Here is a 14918-nt window from a genome sequence, read left to right as displayed (position 1 = left end):
GGAAGAACAAAAACTTGGAGAGAAAGAAATAGTATGGCAGGAGTTGAAAGATATGGAATAATAGAAGGGAAGCCATAGCGTATGTGTAGAAAAAAATAAACTTTTCCTCTATTGTCTGTCACACAACACAACAACAATCAATATGGAATAATTCTGTGACCAGATGTGCAGGGTGTTTTCCACACACACCAAGCAATCCTCCCGTGGACACAAGCTGGGGGTCCTCCAGTTCAACTCAGTCATTATCTACCTGCAGATAGCATCACATCCCCCAGTTTGAGGACTCAGTCACCAAGACTGAGGCTCCCATTTCTGATGACAATCAAAGCCCCAGAGCCTCTGCTTTTGACTGATGAGCTATAAACCACAAATCCCGTGGACCCCACAACTGGATTTGACTAATTTGATAGAATGGCACATAAAACTCAGGGAAAATAACTTACTGGTTAATTATAAATAGTACAAAAGATGCAGATAAAGAGATGCATAGGGTAAAGTATGAGAAAAGCACTTGGAGCTTCCATGCCCTCCTGCAAAGACTGAAGGTGTCTTAAGCAACAAGGCCTTTATTATAACACAAATCAGGGCAATAGGTGGCAGGCTGTCTGAGATTCATGACTGGCAGGCTGGAAAATTCCATCTTAAGAACTCTGTGAGATCCAAAAGATCCCTGAAAAAGGTAGTCCATTTTTTCAAGTTATCAGAAGAGTCCTCTGTGCCAAAAATGAGTCAGGTTCATGGCCTAACTCATTGGAGAGAAAGAAATGAGAATAGAATGAGTGCTGAGGATACTAAAAAATCCCTCTGTTGAATGAAACAAAATCAAAGTTACTTCTGGATCATGATGAGTTAGGCGAATGATGTACTGTGGGCACCTGCCAAGTGGTAAAGGTGAAATGCTTTTTAGAAGAGAACTGTAAGTCACAGAAGTCTAGCAAGAGACCTGGGCAGGTCGAAAAATACTATGCAGTTCCCACATACCTGGAATGTATGCAGCTATTTGATGTATGACATTCAATTTAGGCAGATGGCATCCTCATAAGGGGTTTCCTCCAGTGTTATATTGAAGAAAAAATAATATTACCTCCACATCTGTGGTATTTTCCTCATGTAAATATTGTGGTAACCAATGAGAGAGGGCTGAAGGCTTTCTCACATTCATTGCACTCAAAAGGCACTTCTTCAGTGGGAGCACTCTTTTATGTAAAGAAGCTAGCATTCTAGCTAAAGAATATTCCCCATTTGTCACACTCATAACACCTTGATCTGGTGTGAACTCTCTGGCCTTGAAGGAGCAAAAAGCCTGGGCAAGAGAATTTCCAAAATTTGCTTCACTTATAAGGCCTCATTCCAGTATGAACTCTCTGATGGCGACGGAACGAAGAACTGTGGCGAAATGATTTTCCACAATCAATGCATTCATATGGCCTTTCTCCAGTGTGAACTCTCAAGTGTTTAATAAGGCTGGAGTTTTCAGCAAAGGATTTCCCACAGTCACTGCACTCATAAGGCCTTTCTCCAGTGTGAACTCTCAGATGTATAATAAGGCTAGATTTTCGGCTAAAGGATTTCCCACACTGCCCGCACTCATGCCTTTCTCCAGTATGAACTCGCTGATGGTGAATGAGGTTGGACCTTAAGCTAAAGGATTTCCCACATTCACTACATTCATAAGGCCTTTCTCTAGTGTGAACTCTCTGATGCTGCAAGAGTGAAGAGCTTCGGCGAAATGATTTTCCACACTCAACGCATTCATAAGGCCTTTCTCCTGTGTGAACTCTCAAGTGTTTAATAAGACTGGAGTTTTCAGCAAAGGATCTCCCACATTCACTGCACTCATAAGGCCTCTCTCCAGTGTGAATCCTCCTGTGTTTAATGAGACTAGATGTATAAGCAAAGGACTTCCCACATTCATTGCATTCATAACGCTTTGCTCCAGAGTGAACTTTCCTGTGGTTAATGAGACTGGACTTTTCAGCAAAGGCTTTCCCACATTCAATACACTCATAAGGCCTTTCTCTAGTGTGAAGTGTCTGACGCTGCAAGAGTGAAGAGCTTTGGTGAAATGATTTTCCACACTCACTGCACTCATAGGTCTTTTGCCCAGTATGAAATCTCTCATGAATATGGAGTGTAGGCTTTTGGTGAAATAATTTCCCATATTTGCTGCACTCATAAGGCCTTTCTCCAGTGCGAACATTCCTGTGTTTGTGATCTCTTCTGGGTTCAGTGAGGCAGGACTTGTTCTTAAATAATTTCCTATATTCCCCACACTCATAAGGCCTTTCTCCACTATGACCTCCCTGGTCTTTGTATATATGTATACACGTGCTCTGCTTAGAAGGTGCTGCCTCATCTTCCCCTCCATGCCAACAACCTAAAAGCAAAGAAATGCTGGTGAGGTACATGTTGACTTTGTTGAGTATGCAGCCTACCCACAAGAGTATCTGACAAACCAAAAAACTAGTCTATGGAATTATTTGCACAAACAGGGAGTTGGGTTCAGGTTGAGGTTGGGGCTGCTTAGCATTATCACAGATATAGAAGGCCTCATATTGTCAAGGGCATGACTAAATGAGTCAACAGACAGAATAAAGGCAGGGTCTATAACTCCTTCATTTGCAAACAACTTGCCTGTGGAACCTTATTTGCTGATGACGTGTGAGTACTATATAAATATGTCCAGGCCCCCCCCAACATGACTAGAGCACAACATCCTTTGGTCAGGGACTGTTAAGAATAGGTATATACGTGGCCGAGAACCGTGGCTCATGCCTCTAATCCCAGCACTTTGCGAGGCCGAGGTGGGTGGATCACAAGGTCAGGGGTTTGAGACCAGCCTGGTCAACAACCAACATGGCAAAACCCCATCTCTACTAAAAATAAAAGTTAGCCAGGTGTGGTGGCATGCACCTGTAATACCAGATACTCGGGAGGCTGAGGCAGGAGACTTGCTTGAACCTGGGAGGCGGAGGTTGCAGTGAGCCTAGACTGTGCCACTGCACTCCAGCGTGGGCAACAGAGCAAACTGTCTCAAGAAAAAAAAAAAAAAAAGATTATATACTCCATAGAGGCTGGGCGCGGTGGCTCACACCTGTAATCCCAGCACTTTGGGAAGTTGAGGGGCGTGGATCACCTGAGGTCAGTTCAAGACCAGCCTTGCCAGCATGGTAAAACCCTATCTTTACTAAAAATACCCCAAAAATTAGCCGGGCGTGGTGGTGGGCCCCTGTAATCCTAGCTACTCAGGAGGCTGAGGCCAGAGAATCACTTGAACCTGGGAGGCGGAGGTTGCAGTGAGCCGAGATCGCACTATTGCACTCCAACCTGGGAAACAAGAGCGAAACTCCATCTCAAAAAAAAAAAAAAAAAAAAAAAAAAGAATGGGTATATACTTCGTAATACAAAATACATGAGCCAATATTGAAGACCACTGCAGACAGAGCCGTGAGAAAAATAGGTGAGACGTGGAGTCCAGATATATGAAAATTAGTCCTGGGCTGGATGTAACAGCAGAAGCAACAAGGTGTAGGACTAATAAACTGGCACTCTCAAGAATGGGGAAGGAAAGACATAAAGTGGGGCTACTTCTATTGGCATGAAAATACTAGTCAAATAGAAGAGGTCTATGGCATAATTTGAATAGAGCCCTGATGTCATGACCTTACTCACATGCTATTCTTCAGAACCAAGCTGCCCCAAGTCCTTGCTAAGGCTGGACTCATTTACATCTTAGGGACAACCACGGGCTCTTCATTTCACCACCAAGATGAGCAACTACATGGAAACTCGATAATGTAAGTACTAAGGGAAAAATAGGACAGACGAACAGCCAATGCTGGCTCAGAACAACTCTGCATTTGATATTCCACAGGAAAAGAAACTAAATATTACAAAAAGAATTCCTTCCTATATATTTTTAGAGATGAGGACCTGCTATGTTGGCCAGGCTGGCCTCAAACTCCTGGGCTCCGAGTAGCCTCTGAAGAGCTGGGATGACAGGTGTTATTGTGCCTGATGAAATACTACAAAAAGAATTTTGAAGTAGGGTATTGCAAGAATAGGCTGTGGTTCATGTACATAATGACCACATCAGTGACGACAATTCGTAGCATGAACAAATGTGAACTAAAGGAGGGAAACGGAACTTGAGACAAACAGAAGCCTTGGATCTGCACAGTCACCCAGACAGGCAGAGGACAACCAAGGTGGGAGGCATTAGGGTGACTTTAAGACTCCTGACCCTGACTCCTTCCCTGGAAGCCTGCAACAAAGCAGGTTGGGGCTGCTCAAGGAAAGGACAGGGCAGTACGTACACCTCAGTCCGACCAACAACAGAACCTCTCCAGAGAACTGGAGAATGAAGCTGTGTCCATGGTCCTGGTGTGAGAAAGAGATAAGGCATAAAGGTGAGGGGCACAGACTAACTCAGGTCACAGGTGAATATGAGTACCTTACCCAGGGAGGATATAAGTGTCAAGGTCTCCAGCATCACGTCACGGTACAGGCATCTCTGAGCCTCATTAAGAAGACTCCATTCCTCCAGGGAAAAGTTTACAGCCACATCTTCAAAGGTCACACTGCTCTGTTATGATGGGGATAGATGAAACCACAAATGGCCCCTATGCTGAAGACCCACAGTCCACTTCCCCAACATATCTACCCTTGCCCATCCTCCTCCTCCCAGGATCCCCAACTCAGAGGAGAAATTTTGCCCACTAGTGCCACTGTGTCCTCATGGGACCATTAATCATGACACATAGCCGTCAGCAACAAGAGGCAGATAAGCACACAGGTATCTATGCTGTGGTCCTGAAATAAAGGGTTCCATCCTCTCCTTTCTAGCAATTCCCCTGGTACAGCAAAGGTCACATGAATCCCAGTGCAGTGCCTGAGGCCTTTCAAACATAATCCTTATGTACGTACACATCCTTCCCATCTTTGGACACCACAGACACATGCCAATTGCCACCACCACCTAACTGCCCACACTATAGGCCTCTCTCTGGTCTTGCCAGAAGTTACAGTATTTTAATCCCCCTTTCTTCTACTGGTAAAGAGTAGGAGTTTCACCCTAGGGTTATGATGATGGCCAAACACAACACCTGACGCTGAACACAAGTCATCACGAAAGTTCATTAATCAAATATGCTCAGCGCTTGAGAGAAGAGGACACCACTCACCACAGAGAGCCACATGGGGGTTGCACTATGCATAAGAGAGAGTGGCCGGGCGCGGTGGCGCACGCCTGTAATCCCAGTAATTTGGGACGCCGAGGCGGGTGGATCACCTGAGGTCAGGAGTTCGAGACCAGCCTGACCAACAAGGTGAAACCCCGTCTCTACTAAAATACAAAAATTGGCTGGGTATGGTGGCATGCACCTGTAGTCCCAGCTACTCAGGAGCCTGAGACAGGAGAATCATTTGAACCCAGGAGATGGAGGTTGCAGTGAGCCTAGATGGCACCACTGCACTCTAGCCTGGGCAACGGAGCAAGACCCTGTCTCAAAAAAAAAAAAAAAAAAAAGAGCAACCAGGGATTGTGGTATGTAAGCTTTGCTCAATCAAGAGGGTGTGATAGTCCCTGATTCCCATAAAAGAATGCAACTGGCTTGTTTTTATTTTTAATTTTTGAGACAGGGTCTTGTTCTGTCACTCCTGCTGGAGCATAGTGGCACAATCACAGCTCACTGCAGCCTGAACTTCCTGGGTTCCAGCAATCCTCCCATCTCAGCCTCCTGAGTAGCTGGGACCACAGGTGTGCGATACCACACCCAGCTGCAACTGGCTTGAGTAACTCTGTGGGTAGAAATGAAATTGAAACCTGCATTGGGTGCGGTGGCTCACGCCCACGCCTATAATCCCTGCACTTTGGGAGGCCGAGGTGGGCAGATCACGAGGTCAGGAGATCGAGACCATCCTGGCTAACATTGTGAAACCCCGTCTCTACTAAAAATACAAAAATTAGCCGGGTGTGGTGGCGGGTGCCTGTAGTCCCAGGTACTCAGGAGGCTGAGGCGGGAGAATCATGAACCCAGGAGGCGGAGCTTGCAGTGAGATGAGATCTGCCACTGTACTCCAGCCTGGGCGACAGAGCGAGACTCCGTCTCAAAAAAAAAAAAAAGAAAAAAAGAAACTGAAACCTGCTACAAATAAATAATAACCAGGAACTCTGTCTAGTCCTCTTGATTAAAAGGGTAGTTAAGCTAGGACACATTATCCCAAAGAGCAGAGTGGGGAGGGAGATTTGCACTCAGACCATGTGAGGTAGTACTGGTATCACCAGACATGAAGGTAGCACATGATACTGACCTTAACTTTAGGGCTTACACCATAATGTGGCTGACATCATCCACAGTAGTCTTGGTAAATTAAAAAGGAATCCAAAATTACCACAGAATTCCAATGTTTCTCAATAGCAATGGTAGCCCCAAATCATTCTGACGCCCTCCATGCATAAATCCACAGACAAAAAGAACCACTAGCATTTTCAGATATTTATGGTTCTATTCCACTTCTGTGCTGCATTTGCTATCCTCAGAAACTATGACTTTTTATTTATTTATTTATTTATTTATTTATTTATTTATTTATTTATATTTTTGAGATGGAGTTTCACTCTTGTTGCCCAGGCTGGAGTGCAATGGCGCGATCTCAGCTCACCGCAACCTCCACCTCCCAGGTTCAAGTGATTCTCCTGCCTCAGCCTCCCGAGTAGCTGGGATTAGAGGCATTAGCCACCACGCCTGGCTAATTTTATATTTTTTAGTAGAGACGGGGTTTCTCCATGTTGGTCAGGCTGGTCTCCAACTCCCGACCTCAAGTGATCCGCCCACCTCAGCCTCCGAAAGTGCTGGGATTACAGGTGTGAGCCACCGCGCCCGGCTGACTTTTTTTTTTTTTTTTTTTTTGAGACGGAGTTTCACTCTTGTCACCCAGGCTAGAGTGCAATGACACAATCTCGGTTCACTGCAACCTCTGCCTCCCAGGTTCAAGCGATTCTCCTGTCTCAGCCCCCGAATATCTGGGATTACAGGTGCCTGCCACCACGTCAGCTACTTTTTTTGTATTTTTAGTAGAGATGGGCTTTCATCATGTTGGCGACGCTGATCTCGAACCCCCGGCCTCACGTGATCTGCCCACCTTGGCCTCCCACAGTGCTGGGATCACAGGTGTGAGCCACTATGCCCGGCAACTATGACTTTCTTCTGTCCACCTAACCCCATTCAAAGCCCAGAACCACTGGTCATCAATCTCATGCATAGTGACTCTCACAAGGTGACCATATTTGCCTCCACATCCACCAGGCTGAATCAAACACCCCAGGCCACACTAAAGTCATCTCAAAATCTTGGTGAGGCCACAAAGTGGCCAATAAACACAAGCTCCAGCCTGAGTGTCATCTTCCCTCAGCTACTCCTATGCGTCAGCATGCATCTCAAGTCTATTCATTTCTTGGAAGCATTATGTCACTTGCCAAACTAGTCTGTCAGATGTATCCTCCCTTTCCAGCCTAGCCAAGATGGTGAAACCCTGTCTGTACTAAAAATACAAAAATTAGCCAGGCATGGTGGCAGGCACCTATAATCCCAGCTACTCGGGAGGCTGAGGCAGAAGAATCACTTGAACCCAGGAGGCGGAGGTTGCAGTGAGCCGAGATTGCACCACGGCACTCTAGTCTGGGCGACAAAGCAAAACTCTGTCTCAAAAAAAAAAAAAAAAAAAGAAGAAGAAGAAACAGATGTATCCTCCCTTCATGGCCATTTACCTCCCTTACCTGTGTTTCTCAAATCCAATACCATCACCAGGTACACAAGCAGGAAACCCAAACTCTACTTCCTGTCCAACAGTGTCATCAACATAATCTGAAGGTTGTGCCTTCCAAATGTGAGCCATGACTCAATCATTTCAGTCCACACAGTAGTTACCATATATTAGATACCTCCAATATCAACGCTTCCCCAGATATTTGCATCTATGTGTCCAGCTGCCCATTTAATAGCTCCACTAAGTAGTATCTAATACATTTCAGAATCTTAATATGGGTGTGATATTGTGAAATATATATTTGGTCATCTCCTTTTCTGGCATGCAACTCCTAAAATTCATGAAATTCTCAAATTTATAAGTGACTTTGAATGGCAATGAGTTGACTGATGGTTGGAAACCCCTAGATAACTTCAGAATGGAGACCGGTCAGGGAAAAGAGACTATGTCAGGATTCGAGGTCTGGAAATTTCAGCCCCATACCCCAATCTCCAGAAAGGGGAGAGGGGGCCAAAAGTTAAGCTGATCAGCATTGACCAATGATTTAATTAATCATGCCTATGTAATAAAGCCTCCATAAAACCCCATAAAGACAGGGTCTGGGGAGCTTCCAAATAGCCAAACACATGGAAGTTCCTGGATGGTGGTGTGCCTGAAGATCATAAAAGCTCTGGGTCGCTTCCCCTTATGCATCTCTTCATCTGTAACCTTTGTAATAAATACTCTTTAAAATAAACTGGCAAATTAAAGCATCTCCTGAGGTTCTGTGACTGGCTCTAGCAATTTAATGGAAGCCGAGGAAGGGGTCATGGGAACCTGATTTTTATCAAGTCAGTCAAAGGACAGGTAAAAAAAAAAAAACATCCTGGGGCTTGTGATTGGCATCGAAAGGGGTTGGCGGACAGTCCCGTGGGACTGAGACTTCACCCTGTGGGATCTGATGTCCACTGCAGAACTACTTGGTGTATGAGGAAAACCATCCACACATTATCTAGTCACAGAAGTACTCTGTGTTGATTGTTGTGGGGGAGAGCAGAGCAAAAGCAATTTGTATTTTTTTCCACGCAGAATGGCCAAAACAAACCTCCTGATAGCCTCAGTGAATATTACACCTGCTATCAACTTGCTCATCTCAGTTGATGCAGCTCCCATTGCTACAGCTGCTAAGATAAAAAACCCAGGGGTGTTTCCTGAATCCTCTCAAGCTCTCACTGTTCACATTTAAAAATTGAGTTGCCAGGCTGGGCACGGTGGCTCAAGCCTGTAATCCCAGCACTTTGGGAGGCCAAGGCGGGTGGATCACGAGGTCAGGAGTTCGAGGCAGCCTGGATAATATGGCGAAACCTAGTCTCTACTAAAAATACAAAAATTAGCTGGGTGTGGAGGCGCGCGCCTGTAATCCCAGCTACTTCGGAGGCTGAGGCAGGAGAATCGCTTGAACTCAGGAGGCGGAGGTTGCAGTGAGCCAAGATTCCACTATTGCACTCCAGCCTGGGCAACAGGTCCAGACTCCATCTTGGGAAAAAAAAAATTGACTTGCCCCTCTAAAAAACACAAATCCAGATCTAGCCACATTGCCTAAGCCACAACTCTAGTCCATTAATCCTCACCTCGACTAGGGCAGTAGCTTCCAGTTTGATCTTCCTCCTCCCTCAACCCCACAGTCTGTTGCCCACTCAGTAACCAGACAGCGCCTATTAAGAAATTGGTAACATCACCTCACCCCTCTAGTTTCACTTCTAAGTAAGTATTTGCACACCCCAGTATCAGTTCCTGGGTGAACCCTCCACATGTGTTACATTAGTTGACAGACATAGCAACAACTCCCCATAACCTATGTCACTGATGTAGGTTTGGGGTTTGAGGTTTTTCCAAGATCCCCAGATTGAAGGACCGGAGAAATGGCACTTAAGTGTCCTAGGAGGTGCGGTAGTTCCTGCTTGGCATCCCAGCACTTTGGGAAGCCGAAGCAAGAGGACTGCTTGAGCCCAAGGGTTCGAGACTAGCCTGGGCAACATGGCGAAACCCCATCTCTCTCTCTCTCTTTTTTTTTTTTTTTTCAGACGGAGTCTTTCTCTGTCGCCCAGGCTGGAGTGCAGTGGCGCGATCTCGGCTCACTGCAACCTCTGCCTCCCGGGTTCAAGCGATTCTCCTGCCTCAGCCTCCCAAGTAGTTGGGACTACAGGTGTGTGCCACCAGGCCTGGCTAATTTTTTGTATTTTTAGTAGAGGGGGGATTTCACCGTGTTAGCCAGGATGGTCTCAAACTCCTGACCTCGTGATCCGCCCGCCTCGGCCTCCCAAAGTGCTAGGATTACAGGCGTGAGCCACCGCGCCCGGCCGTGAAACCCCACCTCTACTAAAAATACAAAAAGCCAGTTACTCGGGAGACTGAGATGAGAGGCTCTCCTGAGCCCGGAGAGGTCGAGGCCGTGCTGCGCCGTGATCGCGTCACCGCAACCCAGCCTGGGTGTTGAGTGAGAACCCGTCGCCGAAAAAAAAAAAAGATGCCAAGATCTAGACATGTGGGATAGGATGAGGACCAGTGAAGGACTAGAGCATCCCCTACTTCCTACTGTGGATTCTGTAAGTGCTTCTGTAGCCATGAGGTGTGCCAAAAGGCAGGGCTTTCACAAATGTGTCTGTGCTCGGATTTGATAGACTCAGGCTTCTCTGTAAGCTTTTTTTGGCCCTGCAGCCAGATGACTTCAGACTGAGTCTCTAATCTTGTGGCCCAGTGCTCAATGTCACCTCTCAATGATTCAACCTCTCAATGTCCTCATCACTGCCTTCAACTCTGTTCTTCCTTCGAACATCTTTTGGGAATCGCAACTCTAACACAGATTTCCTCCTTTGTTCAAAACTGTCCATGGCTTTTAGCGTCCTCACAGTCAAAGTTCAACCCTCAGCCTGGTACTGAAGAAACAACTCCGCCTCGGCCAGGCGCGGTGGCTCACGCCTGTATTCCCAGCACTTTGGGAGGCCGAGGTGGGCGGATCACCTAAGGTCAGGAGTTCGAGGCCAGCCTAGCCAACATGGTGAAACCCCGTGGTGGCGCATGCCTGTAATCCCAGCTACTCGGGAGGCTGAGGCAGGAGAATCGCTTGAACCGGGGAGGTGGAGCTTGCAGTGAGCCGAGATCGCGCCACTGCACTCCAGCCTGGGCGACAGAGTGAGACTCCGTCTCAAAAAAAAAAAAAAAAAGAAATAACTCCGTATCACACTTCTTTCCCAGTAGACACACGATGTCCCCGTGTTCCGCATCCTCCTGCCTCAGTCGCGCCTGCAGGCCTTTGCCCTCCGCCAGTCTCGCTCTGCCGACCGCATCAACTGGGTGTCGGAAACAGGGATCCCACCCGCCGGCGCCTCTCCGTCCCTGACAGAGGCCTGGGCTGCAGGGACGCGAGGAGGCGGCCCTCACGATCAGGGGCCTCAGGGTCTGGGTGGGTAGGGTGGGTAAGGCCCGGAGGTCGCAGCGCTCACCTGAGCAGGCGCCCTCAGAGCGGCTGCTGCCGCCATGACTCTGGGCGGGGGGGGAACGCGGGCTCGGCGGTGTTCCTGTCGTTGTCCTGTCCCGGGTCGCGACCAGCGGCGTCGCCGAACCTCAGATCCGCCTGTGTGCAATGGCCACAACCACTCCTCCCGAGCTCGTCCAGACCCAGCATCGCCGGATGGACCTGACAGGCCAAAATGGCTGCCACGGCTAGGACGCCGGAAGTCCTGGCTTGACTTTACGTGCCCCGGCAATGGCACGGCTTCTCTGAAGCTTCATTGGCTCAGCCACGTTACCATTTCGCAGGGCGGATTCTGGGTAATGTAGTTCCCAGACATGGGCAGCGCTTAAGGTGGCTTTCTTCCGACTTTCCGAAGAAAGGGGCAAGCTCCACTGCGAGGGGCGCTAGGAAATGGCGACTCCAGGTCCAGATGCGGAGGAGGGTCTCCCATCTTAGAAGAGGCCATACGCACATTTCTGGGGGTACTGTGTGCAACTGATTGCCCGCGTGTTTGGAGACTTCTTATTTCAGAATTTGTGATGCTCGGCTTCTTCCTTTTTTTTTTTTTTTTGTCTTTTTTTTAAGACATAGTTCTCTCTGTCACTCAGGCTGGGGTGCAGTGGTGTGATCTTGGCTCACTGCAGCCTATGCCTCCCGGGTTCAAGCGATTCTCGTGCCTCAACCATCCGAGTAGCTGGGATTACAGGCGTGTGCCACCATACCCTGCTAATTTTTGTATTTTTAGTAGAGACGGGGTTTCCTCATTTTGGCCAGGCTGGTCTCGAACTTCTGGCCTCAAGTGATCTGCCTGCAATGGTCTACCGAAGTGCTAGGATTACAGGCGTGAACCACCGTTCTCAGCCCATTAGCAACACTTTTATTTATATCTTTAACCTACAGATTCCTCTAGAAATCTGATATCAACATCAAAAAGCTAATGAGACAAATGCTATTATGTTACAGGACAATGGCTGCGGTGTTCAAACATGGAGTATGTATGCATGAGAGAAGAGAGAGACCCTCTCACATTGTTTTATATTCAGTAAAAACAACAAGGAAGTAAAACCAAAGACAGGCAACCCCGCGCCAGGCCCGAAACCAGGCCTAGGCCCGCCTGGCCTAAACCCAGTAGTTAAAAATCAACTTATGATTTAGAAGCCGATGTTATTCATAGATTCCTTAGATTGTATAGAAGAACATTGTGAAACTCCCTGCCCTGTTCTGTTCCTCCCTGACCACCGGTGCATGCAGCCCCTGTCACATACCCCTTGCTTGCTCAAATCAATCACGACCCTTTCATGTGAAATCTTTAGTGTTGTGAGCCCTTAAAAGGGACAGAAATTGTGCACTCCGGGAGCTCAGATTTTGAGACAGTAGCTGGCCAATGCTCCCAGCTGAATAAAGCCCTTCCTTCTGCAACTCGGTGTCTGAGAGGTTTTGTCTGCGGCTCGTCCTGCTACATGCACAGGGTGCTTTTACACTGAGATATTTCAAGTGCCTTAAATCCATGCGTTCACCTCTTTGCTGGCAAGTGCTTATCATTGTCAGTGGCATTGGAATCAGAGTGACTCCATCTTGAAAATGGGCTGGATAAAGTAAGGCTGAGAAATACTCGGCTGCATTCCCAGGTTAGGCATTCTTAGTCACAGGATGAGATAGGAGGTTGGCACAAGATGCAGGTCACAAAGACCCTGCTGATAAAACAGGATGCAGTAAAGAAGCTGGCTAAAACGCACCAAAACCAAGATGGTGATGAAAGTGACCTGTGGTCATCCTCACTGCTCATTATACGCTAATTATAATGCATTAGCATACTAACTCCCGCCAGCGCCATGACAGTATACCAATGCCCTGGCAATGTTTGGAAGTTACCCTATATAGTCTAAAAAGGGGAGGGAACCTCAGTTCTGGGAAATCTCCACCTCTTTTTTTTTTTTTTTTTTTGAGATGGAGTCTCGCTCTGTCACCCAGGCTGGAGTGCATTGCTGCGATCTCGGCTCACTGCAACCTCCGCCTCTTGGCCAAGTTCAAGTGATTTTCCTGTCTCAGCCCCCCGAGCAGCTGGGATTATAGGCGCCTGCCACCGCGCCCAACCTGTAAAATTTTCTATACTTAAAAAAAAAGTTGGCTGGGCGCGGTGGCTCACACCTGTAATCCCAGCACTTTGGGAGGCCGAGGCGGGCGGATCACGAGGTCAGGAGATCGAGACCATCCTGGCTAATATGATGAAACCCCGTCTCTACTAAAAATACAAAAAAATTAGCTGGGCGTGGTGGCAGGCGCCTGTAGTCCCAGCTACTCCGGAGCCTGAGGCAGGAGAATGGCTTGAACCCGGGAGGCGGAGGTTGCAGTGAGCCGAGATCACGCCACTGCACTCCAGGCTGGGGGACAGAGCGAGACTCCGTCTCAAACAAACAAACAAACAAACAAACAAAAAAGTTGGCCGGGTGCGGTGGCTCATGCCTGTAATCCCAGGACTTTGGGAGGCAGAGGTGGGCGGATCACGAGGTCAGGAATTCGAGACCAGCCTCACCAACATAGTGAAACCCCGTCTCTACTGAAAATAGAAAAATTAGCTGGGTGTGGTGGCGCATGCCTGTAATCCCAGCTACTCAGGAGGCTGAGGCAGGAGAATCACTTGAACCCAGGAGGCGGAGGCTGCAGTGAGCCAAGATCGCGCCACTGCACTCCAGCCGGGGTGACAGAGGACAGAGTGAGGCTCCGTTTCAAAAAAAAAAAAAAAAAAAAGCTTTCTTGGATTATGCTTTGTATAAATTAAATTGGATATTTAGTGTAAACTTTATTCAGTAATGGAGGTGAGGGTTTCCAGTAGTATTTCTTTCCCCAAACAATCATTTTCTCAGATTTCCCGTGAGTTGGCTCATAAACATGTTGTACCATAAGAAATTGAAATCTCAAAGGCAAGATGGGTCTCCTGTTGGGTCCACACCAAAATTTGTAAATGGGGGAAAAGCATTACCGCTTTGTTAGCCATATCTACTTTTTCTTATCTGAAGCCTCTTTTTGAATCCCTTGGAGTTCCTGTTCAATGGCACTTATTTTGAATGTAGTGACTTTTATAGTTTCATGTGATATTGGTGTCAAGAGAGTCTTTTTGCTGCTGCATCTGCGAAATAATTTTTTTTTACTCTTTGGAGAGGTGAGTTTGAATGTTCAGGAACGTTAATAAAACATTCTTTTTTGATAATCGGATGGCTTCTAAATGATCAGAAACTTGAGAGCCATGTTTAATTAGATATCTGGGGGAGGTTAAGTAACCTCACTGGCCAGGCACAGTGGCTCATGCCTGTAATCCTAGCACTTTGGGGGACAGTGGGGGGGTGGGGGGTGGGGGGGCGGATCATGAGGTCAGGAGTTCGAGACCAGCCTGACCAACATGGTGAAAACCTGTCTCTACTAAAAATACAAAAATTGGCCAGGCATGGTGGCTCATGCCTTTAATCCCAGCACTTTGGGAGGCCGAGGTGGGCAGATCATGAGGTCGGGAGATAGAGACCACGGTGAAACCCCGTCTGTACTAAAAATACAAAAAATTAGCTGGGCGCCGTGGCGGGTGCCTGTAGTCCCAGCTACTCGGGAGGCTGAGGCAGGAGAATGGCGTGAACCCGGGAGGCGGAGCTTGCAGTGAGCCGAGTTT

General features: G+C 47.5%; 1 protein-coding gene across 3 annotated transcripts, besides 3 other annotated features; it reads right to left on the bottom strand.

The window, feature by feature from the left end:
* Nucleotides 1-511: 511 nt before the first annotated feature.
* On the bottom strand, nt 512-11452 carry ZNF586 (zinc finger protein 586). Of its 3 annotated transcripts, NM_001204814.2 has the most exons (4): nt 11250-11452; nt 6313-6362; nt 4459-4585; nt 512-2377 (listed from the first exon to the last, which is right to left on the bottom strand). In NM_001204814.2, exons 3-4 carry the CDS (start codon nt 4490-4492, stop codon nt 1332-1334), a joined length of 1080 nt encoding a protein of 359 aa, NP_001191743.1. In that variant the 5' UTR covers nt 4493-4585; nt 6313-6362; nt 11250-11452; the 3' UTR covers nt 512-1331. The 3 variants fall into 3 exon arrangements, with proteins under 3 accessions (NP_001191743.1, NP_060122.2, NP_001070894.1); NM_017652.4 differs by lacking the exon at nt 6313-6362; NM_001077426.3 differs by lacking the exons at nt 4459-4585; nt 6313-6362.
* Nucleotides 5237-5286: an enhancer, noted in NCBI's record as "active region_15159". NCBI's record gives its function as "activates an Ori minimal core promoter by ATAC-STARR-seq in GM12878 lymphoblastoid cells {active_cell/tissue: GM12878}" and the evidence as "EXISTENCE:reporter gene assay evidence [ECO:0000049][PMID:35858748]".
* Nucleotides 11189-11728: an enhancer, noted in NCBI's record as "H3K27ac hESC enhancer chr19:58280768-58281307 (GRCh37/hg19 assembly coordinates)". NCBI's record gives its function as "activates a minimal SCP1, AML or CMV promoter by ChIP-STARR-seq in naive H9 embryonic stem cells {active_cell/tissue: H9 hESC(naive)}" and the evidence as "EXISTENCE:reporter gene assay evidence [ECO:0000049][PMID:30033119]".
* Nucleotides 11218-11467: an enhancer, noted in NCBI's record as "active region_15158". NCBI's record gives its function as "activates an Ori minimal core promoter by ATAC-STARR-seq in GM12878 lymphoblastoid cells {active_cell/tissue: GM12878}" and the evidence as "EXISTENCE:reporter gene assay evidence [ECO:0000049][PMID:35858748]".

This window comes from Homo sapiens, chromosome 19, assembly GCF_000001405.40.
Source record: "Homo sapiens chromosome 19, GRCh38.p14 Primary Assembly".
NCBI classification, from domain to species: domain Eukaryota; kingdom Metazoa; phylum Chordata; class Mammalia; order Primates; family Hominidae; genus Homo; species Homo sapiens.
The sequence above is the reverse complement of the archived record's forward strand: the minus strand, read 5'-3'. Positions and strand labels throughout refer to the sequence as shown.